At 34.7% G+C, this 19,462-nt stretch overlaps 1 pseudogene; it reads right to left on the reverse strand.

Moving 5' to 3' along the window:
- On the reverse strand, positions 18,756–19,133 carry SEPTIN14P21 (septin 14 pseudogene 21; annotated as a pseudogene).

Below are 19,462 nucleotides of genomic sequence, written 5' to 3' on the forward strand. Positions count from 1 at the left end.
ACAAAAAAAAAGTTCAACATCACTGATCATTAGAGAAATGCAAATCAAAACCATAATGAGATACCATCTCACACCAGTCAGAATAGCTATCATTAAAAAGTCAAAAAATAACAGATGCTAGTGAGGCTATGGAGAAAAGGGAATGCTTATACACTGTTGGTGGGTGTGCAAATCAGTTCAATCATTGTGCAAAGAATAGTGATTCCTCAAAGAGCTAAAAGCAGAGCTACCATTCGACCCAGTAATCCCACTACTGGGTATATACCCAGATGAATATAAACCATTCTACCATAAAGACACATGCATACAAATGTTCATTGCAGCACTGTTCACAATAGCAAAAGTATAGGATCAACCTAAGTGCCCATCAATGACAGATTGGATAAAGAGAATGTGGTACATATACACCATGGAATACTATGCCGCCACTAAAAAATGATATCATGTCTTTTGCTGGAATATGGATGGACCTTCTATTATCCTTAGCAAACTAATGCAGGAACAGAAAACCAAATACAGCATACTCTCAGTTATAAGTGGGAGCTAAATGATGAGAACTCATGAACACAAAGAATAAAACAGACACTGGGGTCTACTTGAGGGTGGAGGGTGAGAAAAGGAAGAGAAGCAGAAAAGATAACTATTGGGTACTAGGTTTAATACCTGGGTGATGAAATAATCTGTACAATAACCCCCTGTGACACCAGTTTACCTATGTAACAAATGCCCCTAAACTTAAAATAAAAGTTAAAAAAAAAAAGAAAATTAAAATCTCCTTATCCTCTACCTGGTAATATGAAAAACACATATCTTTCATTCATTCCTTTCAACTGATGAGGAAACTGAGGCAACGGGAGTTAGTAAAAGTCCACATTGAGATATGAGACCCACCACTGGCTGGACGCAGTGGCTCACACCTGTAATCCCAGCACTTTGGGAGGCCGATGCTGGTGGATCACCTAAGGTCAGGAGTTCGGGACCAGGCTGGCCAACATGGTGAAACCCCCATCTCTACTAAAAATACAAAAATTAGCTGGGTGTGGTGGCAGGCACCTGTAATACCAGCTACTAGGGAGGCTGAGGCAGGAGAATCGCTTGAACCCAGGAGGTGGAGTTCACAGTGAGCCAAAATCACGCCATTGCACTCCAGCCTGGGCAACAAGAGCAAGACTCTGTCGGGGAAAACAAAACAAAACAACAACAACAAAAAAAACACCACCATCATTTTGCAAGTGTTACCACTATTGTGTGTTAATATTGTAGAAGTATTCCTAATTATGATTTCTTTGTATTCCTAATTGTAATAGCTTTGTATTTGAAAAATTATTGATTCATACTCTATATGTTATTATTTTGTATGTGATGACAACAGAATATATTATCATGCTCCTTTTGTGAATCTCATTCATAATATAAAGTATAAATTTGTGATTTTGCTTTAATTTGAAATATTAATTTCAAATATGTTATCACAATTTGATACAAACTATTGACAGTAAATCTGTGGATTAAGTAATGTCTTAGTAGGTATTGGGAAAATTTGAAACTAGTAACATGGAGGACTATTGTCATTGTTTATTTCAAAGCCAGTTAAAATTCTGCAAAGCAGTGTAAATAAAAATAATTTCAAGAAATTTATAAAATACTGAGATTATGGTGTATAAACAACTTTAGATTCTTTGTTTAAGAAATTCTGCCAGTTTGTAATACATGCTTCATTCAAAGTAGCTAAGGGCTGTACCTGGCTAATAGTAGGCACGTAATATTTGTTGAAAAGGAATACTGAGTAGCTGGGACCTCCTGAGTAGCTGGGACCACACACATTTAACCTGTATTTATAAAATTACTGTTTAGAGAATAACATTTGATGGAATCATGCTTTTACTTTCTGCTTATGACTCAATTGTTTGTACTGACATTAACATCCCAAATCCTTAGCATGGCCTACAAGGCCCTGAGCAATGTGGCACCTGCTGAAGCCTGCTGCCTCATTTAATAACTCTTTGTCTCTTTCCCAGATCCAGCCACTCTAACATTTTTTAGTTCCTGGACCAAGACAAGCTCTTCCCAGAACCTGACCTTTGTACCTGTTCTTTATTCCTGGAGTATTTTTCCCCTGACAAATTACTTATCATCTATCATAAATCAGGTTAAATGGCACTAACTCAGGGAAGGCTTCCCTAACTGCCTCCCTTCTCCAACCAAATTAGGAACAATTATATGGCCACATAGTATCGAATCAAGTTTATAATTTTAAAATAATTGGGAGATTTTGTTGTTTAACACTTGTTTTCACTATAAGACTGTAATTACATGCAAGTAAGAACCATGCCTGTTTGTTCACTCCTGCCACAGTCAGAATAGTGCCTGGAATATGCAGTAAGGGCTGAACAAACACTAAATAAATGAACAAGTGAATAAATGGATATTGTCTCGTTTTTAGAACAGAGTACTAAATGGATCATGAACACTATCTGGTATGTCACGTAGGTAATTTACAAGGGCTACAATTTCAGCTCAGATTTACCTTTTCCTGGATACAGGTCTTGATAGGTCTCTTGATGTCATTTCACTTCAGATTCTTCTTTAGAAAACTTGGACAATAGCATTTGCTGTCTTGTCCAAATTGTTACTAAGAATCAAGAGAGATATCTGACATGAAATGACATTGGAAAACATTAAACACGATTGAAATAATGCTAGCCAATATGGTTATTATTAGAAACCAATTACATTTTCAACTTAAAAATAGTAATACTTATTGCAGACTCAAATGTGCTTATTCTAAAACAAGTAAATGTTTGCCTATGGTCTGAGATTCTAATCCACGGAGTTCATTCTAATCCACATTCAACACTATCATGTACCAGTGGGCCTCATGACCCACCTAGCCCTGTGATTTTTCAGGTTCACTTTTCTAAACTTGTGAATTAAATACTTATTTTCTTAGTTCAGAAGAGGAAAAAAACTCTTGTAATTGTTGCCCATTTCAGGAGAAATCTTGCATATGAAAACAAGAGATAAATATACACAACCGACGGCTGTGGTTTAAACAAAATCTTGAGAATGTTTTTTGACCTTATACATTTGTGCTTTAGTATAACAAAATGATATAAACAAAGGTAACTTTTAATAGAACCAGTCACTAAATTAAAAAAATGACAAATTCTTCTGCTTAGCTAAGCAACAGAGAAGGTAAAATACTAATTCAATTCATCAATTTAAGCAATACTCATTAAGAGCCAAGTATGTGCTTACTGAATAAGCTGCTAAGGTTTGGTGGTTACAGAGTGTGCGGTGAAATGATGTCTACATCACAGTCCAACATTCACAGAGTTTAAAAGCCTACCAAGAATCAAGACAGACACAAATACCTAACATAGACGTTTGTATGTGATAAGAGAGCCAGAGTACAATTTAGGAGAAGAAAATTTTATGGAAGGAAGCTTCATTTCCATTAGACCAGAAAAGACAGCACATTTGAAGGCCTGAATAAGAAATATTCTGGATAAGATATTGTGGCTGCTACCAGAATGGCTCTTGATGATCTCTACCTCTTGGTATTTATACCCTTATATAATCTCTTTCCTATAGTATAAGCTGGTCCCAGGTATTTGTTTCTATTGAATAGAATAGAACAAAAGTAATGAGATGCCACTTCTGAGATTAGATTATAAGATACTGTGAATTTCATCTTGTGCCCTCTCCCTCTCTTTCTCTTGCCCTCTCATTTGAATGAAGCCAACTGGCATGCTGTCAGTGGCCCAGTGTAAGTCCTGTTACAAGAAATTGATGATTACCTGTAGCCAACCCTAAGTGAAGAACTGAGGTCCTCAGTCCTACAAATGGAGAGAAATTGAATCTAGCTAAGAACCATGTGAGTGAGCTGGGAAGAAGATCCACCCTCAGTTGAAATTTAAGATGACATATTGAGCAGACATACTGAGACACACTGAAAGTAAGAGAGCAGGAGGAAACAAAACCAGGGTCATACAAAGAACACAACTGATTTTGAGATTCTCACATAAGTATTACACCTTCAGTGAGCACGTGTACTAGAAATTAAAAAAATAAATTAAATAAACCTTCAAAAAGAGCTAGCAAATAAATTTCCCTATGGTCTCAGCTCTGAGTGGAGAGAGAAAATGTTCCCTGTGGAGTTTATAGCCAGAATCCAGCTCTCAAACAGGTTTCAGCCTGAACTCACACAATCTGTGTGGCTTCCAAATTTGCAAGCTGAGAATTTAATTCAAAGTGGTCTCAGGTTGATAGCAGTCCAAAATGCTAGGTAGGAAAAAAAATCCTCTCTGGACAAATAAATCATCAAAGCAAGCTCATAAGAGCAGGTTTCAAAGGTCATGAGCTTCTAACACACACACAAAAATCACACACACAAAATGGGGGTAGCAGCAACATGGGTAGCATATTCAAACTTGAAAAGACTTTAAATATTTGTATTATTAGATGTAGATTATGAAACACATATTTTAATGTGGTTAATTTTTTTAAGGAATCAAAACTATGAGTAAAGACCAAGAAAATTGTGCTGGATGGCCACTTCCACCATGGCTCCCCTCCTATTTAAGTTTGGGTACTGTGTCACCCGAAGTCTTCAGGCACATTGTTCCAGGTTTGGGTTTGCCTATGAAAGAAACTCATGAGAGCTGGAAGTGAGGAGTGAAGAGGAGGTCTTCACATAAAGCAGGCTTAAGGATTAGACATAGCAGGTTTGACAGATGTGATGGCTCGCAGAATTCTTTATGAGCTCCCACTGTCCATCTGGATAAGATTTACAGACCTTTCAGAAATTCCTATAAGCTTGGGTTCTGTGCCCACACTCTAGACTGTCAGGCTAAGATCTCTGATATAAAACAGACCTCTTCTGATTTTGTCTAGCTGCTTTTCTAATATCTATTCACCAAGCTCTTCCAATAATAGCATAAGGCCCTAACTAATATTAAACTTTTATCATTATAATACATAGGATGTCTTCTGTTTTCCTGATCAAATTCTGACTACTATTAAAATATAAAGAATTGTCCAGAAATATATAAAAAAAAGAATCACACATTGATCTTCTTTAAATGAAAATATAACAATTGTATGGACTAGGATGATTACAGTTGTTCAGTTCTGACTGTTATTTGAAGAAAAAAGCAATAAGAAGCCTCAGCAACTTAACAGAAGGAGCTGCCATTTACTAGGAGAAAAGATTGTGGATGAGAGTGTAGCAAAGGTCAGAATTCTGTGAAGCTTGAGATGTCTATTATAATGAATTATCTTTTATACTCACTACAATTTCCTAACAATTTTGGGGTTTATATTTTTGAAAGAGATATACCTTTAATTTTCTTTCTTTGTACTATTGTTAGGTAACTTTAATGTGCAGATTATACTACAGTGAAAGTTGCCAATGACAAGGCAAAGTCACTTACATCAGACCCAAAGCAAAGTGGAGCCGGGTCGTGAAAAAGGGGATCTTGTGTGTGTGTCCACGATAAGCACTATCACAAGGACTTTCTATAAACTCACAAGAAATTTCTGCCCACCCAGCACACTCTGTTTGTCCAGCTCATCCTGTAGGTGTCTCTATAATAGGACCTATCATAAAAAATTCCTCAAGACTGCAGCATTTCAGATAAGCCACCCTCACAAGAACACTGGCCTAGCAATGGCTGTTTCTGCCAGTAAGTTAACACCAGCTCCTGCATCAGGCCCTGTGACCAATGATGTTTGTTTCAAAACAGCTTGCATAGACTTCTTTTTGTCTTTAAATATTTTCCTTACCTCAACCTCTTGGGATGCACCTATGATTCATCATAGCACAAATATCTCAGATTATAATCCTTGTTTATTTCTAAATAAATTTATTTCTTTGGAGATCCACTTTTTTGTTATTATACATTGACATTGTTATCATGAAATTGGTTGGGTGATGTGTCTTATTTTCTTGTCTCCAGAAGAATTTCTGTAACAGTGCAATTAAACATTCTTTGCCTGTTTGCTAGAACTCACCTGTAAAATTGTCTGAGCAACCAAAGCCTGGTTTTTGTGTTTAGTTTTTCTTTTGTGATTGGGGAGGGGGGTTTATCGTACTGATTCAAGGTGTGAAGGTAACATCATTTTGATTTTATACATCTTCTTCAGTCCATTTAAGCATGTTACATAGCGTTGTTTGTTCTTTTCATGATATTCTTTACAGTAGTCTCCTAAATGTTCCCTCTGCTTCTGCCATGAGCCCCTACAATCTATTTCAACTCAGAAGCTATAGAGTTTGTTTAAAACATGTAACATATTATGCCACCTTTCTTACTGTAAAACATCCATGGTTTCTCGTAGTATTTATAGTAAAAGTGAAATTTTTATGATGGCTTGAGAAACTTTTCCCATTTAGATGCCCAAGTGCTGGTCTGGTCTGATCTTCTCATCTTCCCTTGGGTGATTCTGTGGCAGTCACACTAGCCTCCTTGCTGCTCCACAAAAACTCCAGCATGATCCTACTTCAGGATATTTTCCATTGTTACTGCATCTGCCTGGAACCTTTTCTCCCATATAAACATAGAGATTGCTCTTGCCTGTCCTTCAAGTCTATTCTTAAATGTCCCATTCTCTGTGAAGCTTTCCTGCCCACCCTATTTAACTTACAGACTTCACTCCCAATTCCCCATCTACTTTAAGAGTCTTCATTTATCATTCCTTGACAAACTGTAAATATACATGTTCACTTTTTTATCGTCTGTCTCCAAATACTGGAATGTTAAGTTCTGTAATGTCAGATATTTCTGTTTGGTTCACTGGCGTATTCTTAAAGCATGTTACATACTAGGTATACTCAATGAATATTTGTTGAATAAATATCACATTGGGCTTATTCCAGAAATTCAAGCTTGTTTCAATAGTTAGAGCAATCTACAAATGTAATTCATTACATTAACTAAAGGAGCTAAATCACATCACCACCACAATAACGCAGAAAAACACATTTGATACAACTCAATATTCATGTCTGCCTAACAAACATCTCATGATACTAGGAAAAGAGGAAGGGATATATTATTTTCATGTATAAAACACTAACCATTGTAGCATGCCAATATACTCAAAAATCAATGAAATTCCTATCAAAATCTTAGCATTCCTCTTAGTCCTCAACAAAGCATTTCTAAAATGTGTACAGAAGACCAAAGGGCCAAAAGAGTCAACTTCTGAAGAAGTGGAAAAAGAAAGTTGAGGAAATCTTAAAACATGTTATTGAGCTTAAAGTTGCAAAAATAAACTCATGTACCATAATTCATGAGTAGAAAAATAGACTAGTGGAATAACATAAAAATAAAAACAATGCTTACATAAAATGTTGTACCTGATTTGGATGTCATTAGAAATCAGTAAGTAAATAGATGGACAATGTAATGAAAGATGCTAGGCAAATAATGTGGTAGGGAGAATAATGGCCCTCAAAGATGCCCATGCCTAACCCTGGAACCTGTGAATATGTTACACTGAATGCAATAAAGGCTCATCAGATGTGATTAAGGATGCAAACCGAGATGGAGAGATCTTCCTGGGTTATCCAGATGGGCCCAGTCTAATCACATGAATTCTTAAAAATGGAGAACCTTTCTTAGCTGAGTCCAGAGAGAGATGTGACAATGAAAGAATGGTCAGAGAAATGTGACATTGCCAGCTTTAAAAAGAGAGAGGAGAGGCAATGAGAAAAGGAATGCTGATGTTCTCTAGAAGATAGAAAAGGCCAGGATATGGATTCTACCCTAGCCGCCATAAAGAAACATGCCTGTCGACAACTTGATTTTAGTTCACTAAAATTCATGCCTGATTTCTGACTTGTGTACACTGTAAGATGACAAGTTTGTGTTATTTTAGGTCACTTAGTTTGTAGAAATTTGTTACAGCAGTAATAGAACAAGCGGTTATCCATATGAGGCAAATTAGATTGGATACCTATCTCCAATAGAAATCAATTCAAGGTGAATTCCAGGAAAATACTTAAAACATTTAGATTAAAAATAAATGAGAATTTTTGTTACTTTTGGTAGGTCATAGAACCAAGAAAAACAAACATTAAGGAGTAAAAATGAACATATGACTACATCAAAATATAAAGCTTCTCTATTTGGATGATATCATAAGGTGACAAATCATAAACTGTAATATTTGCAACATATATATGAGTGAATAAATATACACTTAGAATATATATGAACCCCCAAAAATCAACAGGAAAAATAACACATAGAACAAGCAAAATGCATAAACAAAAGAAGGCAAAACAAAAATAATGACTCATAATTATATGAAAAGAAGCTCATCTTCATAGATGAGCAGATAAATGCAAATTAAAACCACCCTGAGATGCTTTTTACATCCATGAGCCTGATAAAAGTTAGAGTCTAAAAGTAATAATTAACAAAGATGGGAAGTAACAGAAAATCTTGTCCATTACTGGTTAAAGTATAAACTGATACAGCTACTTTATAGAATATTACATTATAGAATAAAGTTGTGAGTATGTATATGCAGTGACTCAGCATCTTCATTGCTAGTATGTACTCAAGAGAAACTTACAGGAGTGGACTAGGAAGTAAATACAAAATGATTACAACATTGTTTGTTATATCAAAAAATAAAAAAGACACCCAATTTTCCAGCAAAAAAAATAAGTAAAAATAAATCCTGGTGTATTCTAACAATGGAATAATATATAGCAATTAAAATAAATCAACTATTACTGTACATATGAATGTAAGTATCAGCAAAACATATTGTTTAGTGAAAAAGAAGCTGAAGAAGAATATATACAATATGGTTACGTTTATATGAAGTCCAAAAACTTGCAAAATAAAGAAATGTATTTAGAAATAGATTCACATGTGAGAAAACTAGAAGAAAATTAATGAAAGGATAAAAGGGATAGCAGTAATTCTGAGTAGTTGAGGGGATTTCAATTGGAAAAAAATAGTATCATATTCTTTAAGTCAGGTAGTGGGTATTAGCATTTGTTTTACCATCGTTCTTTATTCTTATAGCTACACTATATATTTTCAATGTATTTAATGTATTTTTTGCATAATTAAATATTATGCAATAAAAATGAGAAAACAAAAAAGTAGAAAATGATAAATTACAATAAATGGAGAAAAAATTATAATCTAGTTGAGTAATGGTATATTACATAGCTATTTTCTTAAGTAGATGTATGTACATGATGTATGCACGATTGTACATACATGTTCTTAATTATATATAAATATATATGTACATATTTTTAATATAAAATACTAAACAAAGTACACCAAAATATTAGCTCCTATGTTAGTGAGATAATGTTTTGTTTTTTTGTATTTTAAGTTTTACATAGTAGGTGTATTTGTCTGTTTTCATACTGCTATAAAGAACTGCCCAAGACTGGGTAATTTATAAAGGAAAGAAGTTTAATTGGCTCACAGTTCAGCACAGCTTGGGAGGCCTCAGGAAATCTACAATCATGGCGGAAGACAAAGAGAAGCAAGCCAGCTTCTTCGCAAGGCAGCATGAAGAAGTGCCGAGCAAAGGGGAAAGAATCCCTTATAAAACCATCAAATCTCGTGAGAACTCACTATCACAAGAACAGCACAGGGGAAACTGCCCCCATGATTCAATTACCTCCACCTGGTCTCTCCCTTGACCTGTGGGGATTATGGGGGCTATGGGGATTACAATTCAAGATGAGATTCAGGTGGGGATACAAAGCCTAACCATATCAGTAGGCATGTGTTGAATTTTAAACTCAGAGAAAAATACTAGTGTTTTTATAGGATTCTTACTAAAGAAAAACCAGAAAGTAATAAACCATCTACGCTAAGACATAAAATTCAGTTGTTTAGTTACAAGATAGAATGTGGCCTTGTAAGAAGGCAAAATTAACTTCTAACATACAAAGCCTTAGAGAAGATTCAAGTGACTGACGGATCTTAAACAGAGCTATTATTACAACTCAAACTGCAGTAAAATATCCTCAGCAACATAGATGTGTGTGTTTCACTAGTCAGAGCAATACAAATTTAATGCAACTCCATTGGTGGTGTTTTTAATCAGACAATTTCTGAAGATGTCCTGGCTTATTCATAGATGCAAGCCAAATCTCTAGAAGAGTACCATAATAAGAAAAAAAAGAATACAGGCAATTGAGAGCTGTTCCAAAGTTCAGGGAGTTTTTGTAAGGAATTAATAAATAAAAATGTTCTTGAAAGAGAGAAATTAATATGCAGTTCATACTGCCAGAATTGCAGGCAATTTATCAAACTCCCCTAATCCTCCAAAATCGCTACTTTTTTTTGACACACACTTTACAGTACAGAAGAAAATGTCTCTGGCAATAAATCACAAAGTTAAAATTACCTAGTCTACAATTAACTAGACAGTGATGGTAAATCATTTTCTACCAAAAGAAAGAAATGTCTTGTCTATTCAGGTTCTGCTCTACTTAAAAGTCTTCCTTGTTGGCGAGCAAGTGGTTAGAAAATCATATTTTATACGTACATTCAGCTTAACTATCATTCAGCTCAGGAAGATGACTCAGGGCCTTATCCATACCTTCAAGTTTGCTCTTAGCAAGTAATTGTTTCAGTATCTATATCAAAAATGGCTTAAGTCTGCAACATGTTTCTGAATGATTAACAAGGTGATAGTCAGTTCTTCATTGAATCCTGGATGCTTTATTTTTCTTAATAAGAGGAATTCATATGGATCAGCTAGAAAAAAATTAAGAGGAAAATCACATGGAAAGTTATATATTATATATCTATTATATATATAATATTATATATCTATTATATATATAATATTATATATCTATTATATATATAATATTATATATCTATTATATATATATTATATATCTATTATATATTATATATCTATTGTACATATATTATATATCTATTATATAATATTATAGATCTATTATATATATAACATTGTATATCTATTACATATATATTATATCTTATATCTTATATATTATATATCCATTATATATATAATATTATATATTATATATCATTTCCAAATTCCCCAGCGTTCAATATTTGTCAGTGCAAGTAAAGAGCCTTAGTGCTGATGAGGTTTGAGGTATGACCATTTGGCCAGAATTTATGAACTCTACATGTCGCTTGATGTGTGCTTCAGGGTACACTTTTTTTTTTTTTTTTTTGAGACGGAGTCTTGCTCTGTCGCCCAGGCTGGAGTGCAGCGGTGCGATCTCAGCTCACCGCAAGCTCCGTCTCCCGGGTTCACGCCATTCTCCTGCCTGAGCCTCCTGAGTAGCTGGGACTACAGGCGCCCGCCACTATGCCCTGCTAATTTTTTGTATTTTTAGTACAGACGGGGTTTCACCATGTTAGCCAGGATGGTCTCGATCTCCTGACCTCGTGATCCACCCGCCTCGGCCTCCCAAAGTGCTGGAATTACAGGTGTGAGCCACCACGCCCGGCCAGGGTACACTTTTAAGCAGAGACACTACTTTGAAGGTCATAAAAAATATAATAAGAGATAAGGCTAATTTCCTTTAATAATAATAATAAAATCCTTTAATAAAAATATAAAGGAATAATATAATAATTTTCTTTATTAAAATATAATAAGAGATAAGGCTAATTTCCTTTAATAAAATACAGTAACTACATACCAACAGAACTCCAAAAAAAGAAATGGAGAGGAAGGGAGCATGGGTCATTAATCTTGTCAAAAATATAAAATTATATACGAGGAATTCCTAGAAACTGTTTTCCTTGTCTGCGGCCATTGTGCTGCTGCTACACAACTACCGCAAGCAGCCCTTCACGCCCTCCTCCCAGTACAAAGCTAATTGACTTGTGAGAAATGTTAAGCTTGGAAGAGTCAGCATCGCTGCACTTATTTTTTATTCTACTCTGACATTAGAATAATCCTTGAGTGGGGGAAAGGTTAAAAACCCCCCTGGATAAGTGTTACTAATTAATGATGATTGTTTTAAACAATGTTTGGATAATTTTTCCTTGTCCCTTGACATAAACTTGATAAATAACTGAGAAGTGAGAAGGAGATTAGTGGGTTGATTAAATTCCATTCAGGTACTTAAAGTTAGCTCCAAAAATTTAGCTATTTATAAATTGTCATGCATTGTTAATGTATAAGAGATGTAGATTTCATTTATCTTTGGTGGAGCGAGATGAAGCAGTGAATCATTGAGGACTGAAAGAAAGAAAAAGGTCTTTTCCCTTTTCTTTAAGAAGCATCATTAGTTAAAAACATGTTAGTTGATACCAGAGAACTATATTTAAAGGGACAGCAATAAGCAAATTGATTACTCTGGCGATTATTGGAGTGACATTGCCTTTTAGTTGTACTTTCACAAAAATTCACAATATTTGCCAAAGTCAAGTTATCCATTACACTATTAATTTGTCATTCTTTTGTTTATATAGTCAATATCTCTTATCTCAATTGGATCTATCTCAACTGCTTCTAAACAAGCCACCATAGTCTCTCCCATTTCAACAATCTCTTCCAAGTACCATTTCATTTCTTCTTTTCATATTTTTGAAAACTTTTGAAAAACTACCTATTTTCCTCCTCCATTTCTTGTTCATTCCATTCTAGTGGACATGGAATCTGTTCCTCCTCCAAAACGGAATTTTGTAACCCTTAAATTACTAAACCCAAAACAATACGTTGTTTTTATCTTTACCTCTCTGTGGCATTTAATGATAAGACCACTACTTTCTTCTCTTTTACCCTTCTTTCTTGAATTCAGTCAAACAACGTACTTACATTTTTCGTCTTATTCTCCATCTTAGAAACCACCTCAGCTTTCTCCATTCAGCCATAAAATTGTGCTTTTCCTCAAAGATTAATCTGCCTCTCCTCTCACTCTATACTATCTCTGTTAGCTAATTTTATTTGTGCACATTGCTTATACTGGGCATTATATACACATATGCATGTGTGTACATGTGCACACACACACTGTATGTGGACATGTATATATATATGTGTGTGTGTGTGTATATATATAGTATATATATAAATTACAATAACATAAAGGTGGCATTTTAAATTAGTGGAAATTACCCTGATTTGATCACTACACATTCTATACATGTAAAGAAATATCACTCTGTATCCCAAGAATATGTACAATTATGGTTTGCCAAATGAAAAAGTTCATACATTGAAAAATTTTAGATAAATATCAAACTTTCTCTGAAACTGTAACTGTAAAATGTAAAAAACAGTAATTGCTATATTGCTTATTTCTGAGAATATGAGACATTTCCCTGATCATTATGTGTAATTACAATTACATATATATATGTATGTAATATATAAACATATATATATGTAATTGTAATTACACATAATGATCAGGGAAATGTCTCATATTCTATATATATAGACAGAGAGAAAATATATGAGGGAGAGAAAGAATCTTTCCATCTCCTTTGAGTTCCACGGTGTTGAGAGTCAGGACAACTACAATTGCTTCATCATGCCTGCTTGCAATTATAGGGCTTTTGAACCATTTGTTCCCTCCTTAGATATCCTCATTTTTTTCAGATTCTTGCTTAGAAGTCACTCCTCCGTGGACCTCCTCTGACATATTAAACATTGCAGTCCATTATAAGCTGCAAGAGGACAGGGATTTTTGCCTGTTTTATTCCCTACTGTATCACCAGGGGCTACAGCAATATCTGACAAACAGTGGGCATGTAATGAATATTTGTTAAGTGAAGTAATAAATTCAATCAAATCGCATCACCTGTTTAAAGCACTTCATTGGCTTCACATTGCACTTAGAATAAAGAGAAATTCTTTTTATACAATATAAGTTCCTGCAGAATGCAGACACTTTCTACTTTTCCAGCCTCTTTTCAACTCCTCTCCTACTGGCTTCTGTATTTAAGCCACATTAGACCTTTCTTCAGTTTTTTGTATAGACTTTGTCGCATCACACCTCAGAGGTTCTGTACATGTTCTTCCTCCTGCCTAGAAAGAGTCGTCCCTCCACTTTCGCCAACTAATCCCTGCTCAACTTTTCATCTCAGCAGGAGGCCCATTCTCTTTGGCAATCCTCTGGCCTCCAGCCCATTTATTATATACTCACATGTCAACATGTACTTCGTACAGCATGTAACACAATTGCACTTTTATATTTTAACAAATTATGTTTCCCATATTGAACTGTAAGTCTCCTGAAAGGAGGAATTTTGTTCTTGCTCATCAACTTTTTCAACATCCAGTGCACCATTTAGAACTTAGATGTAGTCAATACAGGTTTGTGGAATGAAAGAGGAAAAGAAAGAATTAATATCCCTTTAAATTAGGATGGCAAAGATTGTATATAGAAAATTGGCTAAGTTGTGGTCCATTCATGTTTGCTCCCAATTAAGGAGCACAGCTATGAAAAGGAAGGCTTCAAATTAATAACCAATAGATTTTTAAAAAAAGAAAACTGGCCAGGTACTGTGGCTTATGTCTGTAATATCAGCATGTTGGGAGGCCAAGGCAGGATTACTTGAGCCCAGAAATTCCAGACCAGCCTGAGAATTTGGCAAAACTCTGTCTCTACAAAAAATACAAAAATTAGCCAAGTTTGGTGGCATGTGCCTGTAGTACCAGCTACTTGGGAGGCTGAGGTGGAAGAATAGCTTGAGTCTGGGAGGTCAAGGCTGCAATGAGCTGTGATCACACCACTGCACTCAAGCCTGGGTGGTAGAGTAAGAACCTGTCTCAAAAAAAAAAAAAAAGAAAAATCAGTAAGCAAAATAAGACAGTGAAGGATCATGTCAAAGGTAAGAAAAATTAGGGGAACATTAAAAGCTTTCTTCCCAAGCCACTAAATCAACTTGACTAACAAAATTACCACTTGATTTAGCATTAGAAAATTACATTACATATCAAACATAAACTCATTAATCAAATACTAAAGAAATTTCTGAGTTAAATGGTATAATGTTAGCTTATGCCAGAGCTGACCCTGAAAGATTGTTCAAATATGGCTCAGTGTGATTGAAAGTTCTGTGTGAATATGTTTTTGGAAAGATCCAACAGCAACACCTTAGTGTATGTTTTTGAAATAAAATGTATCTGAGTAGCAGCAAAGTTATTCTCAAATTTCCATTTTATAGCTGGAGATGTTATACCGTGACATATATGATAGGACCCAATATGGATTAATCCCTTTTGGAAGTCAATCAGGAAGAGGGGAGCAGTTAAAACCGTTGCTTGGTTTACAAACAGTAGAACAATTTTCTTATTCACACCATCTGATTATTGTATTTTATTTTTTCCCCAGCGTTTAGACTACACAATGAGTTAAGAATGACAAAAATAAGCTCACCAATATACTATGTACATACTTACCAAAATCTGTGCATGCTTATACATATAAACACAGCTGATAATTTATTAGTCAGGCTCATTTGTAATTTTTGTCACTATAGACCAGTTTTTTATTTAAATTGAAGATTAGTACACATTTTAAATGATTAGTCAAAATAAAAAATCTAAAATGTGCTCTAAATACCTCTTAGGTCAGAAAAAAAAAGTCAAAAGCTAGAATATAGAGAAATTAAGAAATGCCCTAAATTTCTAATCTGACAAAAATTCATATGAGATTTAAATATTTTAATGGAAAATAGAACAGAACTAATCATTGAAGAAATTATAGAAAGGAAACAAAACAGATTATATGGAGGATTTTTAGAAGATAAGTAAATAAATTAATATACTAGGAAAAAACAAGGGAAATATAATTGATAAATAAATACAGGTAAGAGTTCTTTTGAAATAATAATAAAATAGAAAATCTCTGTCAAAACTAAAAGGAAAGATGCATAAATATATAAATAAATGATAAAACGATGTTGCATACATATATGACTTTTTCAGAATCAAAAAATTTAAATTTCTGTAATAAAATTTAAATGTTTATAAATTTAAAAAACTAGAAGAAAGAATGTTGACTGTTCACAATACAAATAAATGACAAATATTTGAGGTGATGGATATGCTAATTATCCTTATTTGATCATTGGACATTGTATACATGTATCAAAATATCACTCTGTATCCCATGAATATGTACAATTATTTGTCTCAAAAACAAACAAACAAAAGATAATGGGAGAATGTTGAAAACTCAGAGAGAAGAGCAACTCTCACAGATAGGGATCCAGATAACATTAGCAGCTGATTTCTCGGCAGAAACCTTGAAGGCCAGTAGGCAGTCGATTATATATTTAAAATAATGAAGAAACCTGTCAATTGAGAAATCTATAGCTGGAAAACTTATCCTTCAAAAATGAGGGAGAAATTAAGACAATTCCGGATTTTTTTTTAAAACTGAAAAAAAATCCATTTATCCCTGAATTTGCCATTCAAGAAGTGTTAAGTCCTTCAGGTTGAAATAAATGAACTCTAGGCAATAACTATATAAGTAAATAAGCAAGCTGTATGAATATACAAAGCTCTCTGGTAAAGGTAAATACATAAACAAACATAAAAACAGTCCTATTGTAATTTTGGTTTCTAACTCTGCTTTTTATTTTCTACATAATTTAAAAGGCAAATGCATAAAATGTAACTGTAAATCTGTTAGCTGGTATACAATGAATAAAGATATAATTTGTTACATCAATAACATAAAAAGAGTAGAGCTATATGTATAGCAGTAGAATTTTGGTATGTGATTGAACTTGTTGAAATAAATTCAAATTAAAATGTTATAACTCTAGGATGTTATATGTAATTCTCATAGTAACCAAAAACGAAATATACACAGAATATAAACAAAAGGAAATGAGACTAGAAACAAAATGTGTCACTACAAAAAAATCAACTAAAGATAAAAAAGAAATAATTGAGAAAATGGCAAAAATCAGTAACTCTGACGTATTAAAACTTTCCATGCTACATAAATCTGAAAACTCTATTTCACATAAAACTGGAGCTGAAAGAGACAAATATTTACCTATAAAGTTAAAAGTTATATAGGGAACAAACACTAATTTTTTTTAGAAAAAATTATAAAAAGAGTAAAAATATGCCTTATACTACCCCAATTTCATGTTTTACAGCTCTGGGAAAATAGAAAATAAAATGTTCTGTTAGCATGAATCCCTCTGTGCCCCCAAAAAACCCTATGGATTGCATCATTATTACCTAAAAAGTCTATTGTCAAATGCAGCAGAGTGATATTTTTTACAAGGTAGATATTAATTTTAGATATGGAATAATATTGGTGATTTCAATTTTATAACACTGGGTTAAGATGAAAGAATGAGAAGATAAAGGTCCCTCAGCAATATAACTCACAAACATGTTCAGAAGCAGTAAGAAGTTACATTAATTATCTTTTGAAAGTCAATAATCTACATCTTTAATGTATGCATATAGCACAGCTAATGTACTATCGCTGGGTCCATTTATTCAATGAATAATTGCCGCTATGTGTCAGACATTTTTCTAGGCCTAGGAATGGATACATAAGTGAACAAAGCAAAGATTCTGGTTCTTGTAGAGTTTCCATTAAAAGACCATTTAGTAAAACTTTTCTTCCCCCAAATTATAAAATCTGTAAGATGATTTAACAACATGTGTAAAAGTCATTGTGGGCCAGGCACGGTGGCTCATACCAGGTGTGGTGACTCATAGCACTCTGTCACCCAGGCTGGAGTGCAGTGGCACAATCTCTGCTCACTGCAACCTCTGCCTCCTGGGTACAAGCGATTCTCCTGCCTCAGCTTTCTGAGTAGCAAGGACTACAGGTGCACACCATCACGCCTGGCTAATTTTTGTACTATTAGTACAGACGGAGTTTCACCATGTTGGCCAGGCTGGTCTTGAACTCCTGACCTCAAATGATCCGTCTACCTCGGCCTCCCAAAGTGCTGGAATTACAGATGTGAGCCACAATGCCCAGCCTTATTTTCTACAACTTTGGTAACTTTAGCATATACCCCAAATCTGTAAGACATAATATTATAATTCAAATGCAACTCATGGCTTCTCATTGTACTCTTTCTCTAGCTTTTGAATTATTTATTCTAATACCAGTTTTAATTCTGACACAAAAGCATGGGAGTTCTAATCAAAATCCAACCTTTTATCATAAAAACTATGAAGAAATTATGAGTAGAACTTAAAAAGGAAAATAGGCCTATTAATTAGATTTGTCTTTGTAGCATTTAACTCTATAATAAATAACATAATATTTTATGCCTATGAGTACCCAACAAAGCCTCCAGCTTCTATTTAGATATAAAATGTAAAAGTCACTACTGGATCCACAAGCAAGACTATGGTAAAGAAATTTCTCCACCTAACCAGCTTCTTTTACATGATGTTACATGTTTCTTTTGTTTTTTCATTTTGGCAAATATTGATTGTCATCTTCGTGTTTGTCTATGTCCTAAGTGCTGGGATACAGAATCTGAAAAGATGGACACAGGACCTGCCTTCAAGTTCATCCTTTTTTTTTTTTTTTTGAGATGGAGTTTTGCTCTTGTCGCCCAGGCTGGAGTGTAATGGTGAGATCTCGGCTCACTGCAACCACCACCTCCAGGGTTCAAGTGATTCTCCTGCCTCAGCCTCCCAAGTAGCTGGGATTACAGGTCCCAGCCACCACACCTAGCTAATTTTTGTATTTTTAGTAGAGACAGCGTTTCATCATGTTGGTCAGGCTGGTCTCAAACTCCTAACCTCAGGTAGTCGACCCACCTCGGCCTCCCACAGTGCTGAGATTACAGGCATGAGCCACCACGCCCTGCTAGGAGTTCACGCTTTAGTTGGGGAAAATATACAATAAGCAAGCCAATTTTTAAAAAGAGAACTGCAATTAGAGTTAAATGCTACAAAGACAATCTCACAGGAAGATGGGATGTAGAATGATAAGGCTCTCAGAATAGTAAGAGAAACTATTGCTTCTTACGATGTTTGTCTTTCTTTGTATCAGTGCTGAGTCTGCAGTGCTTCAGAGGCAGCTTTCATTTTATAAAAATCTATGATTTCTCCTTCCAGTTGTTTTTTCTCTTCCTCGAGCCTCCTTATCTCCTCCTGTTGAATCATTTTAAGATGCTCGAATTTGTCCTGCAACTGTGAAACCAATGTGCAGTTGTGACACCAAAGCAGTGTGGCTGAACACCCAAAAGAATATGCTTTTTTCTGATTATCAAACAAACCTAAATCATCACAGTAGAGCACGATCTTAATAACAATCTCAAAAACTCAGGAGTAAACACTCAGATATGGAATTTTTCTTTTCTTTCTTTTTTCCTTTTATAAGATGGAGTCTCACTCTGTTGCCCAGGCTGGAGTGCACTGGTGCAATCTCAGCTCACTGCAACCTCCATCTCCCAGTTCAAGTGATTCTCCTGCCTCAGCCTCTTGAGTAGCTGGGACTACAGGCATGCACCACCACTACAGG

The sequence above is a fragment of the Homo sapiens genome, chromosome 1 (genome assembly GCF_000001405.40).
Source record: "Homo sapiens chromosome 1, GRCh38.p14 Primary Assembly".
NCBI lineage: Eukaryota > Metazoa > Chordata > Mammalia > Primates > Hominidae > Homo > Homo sapiens.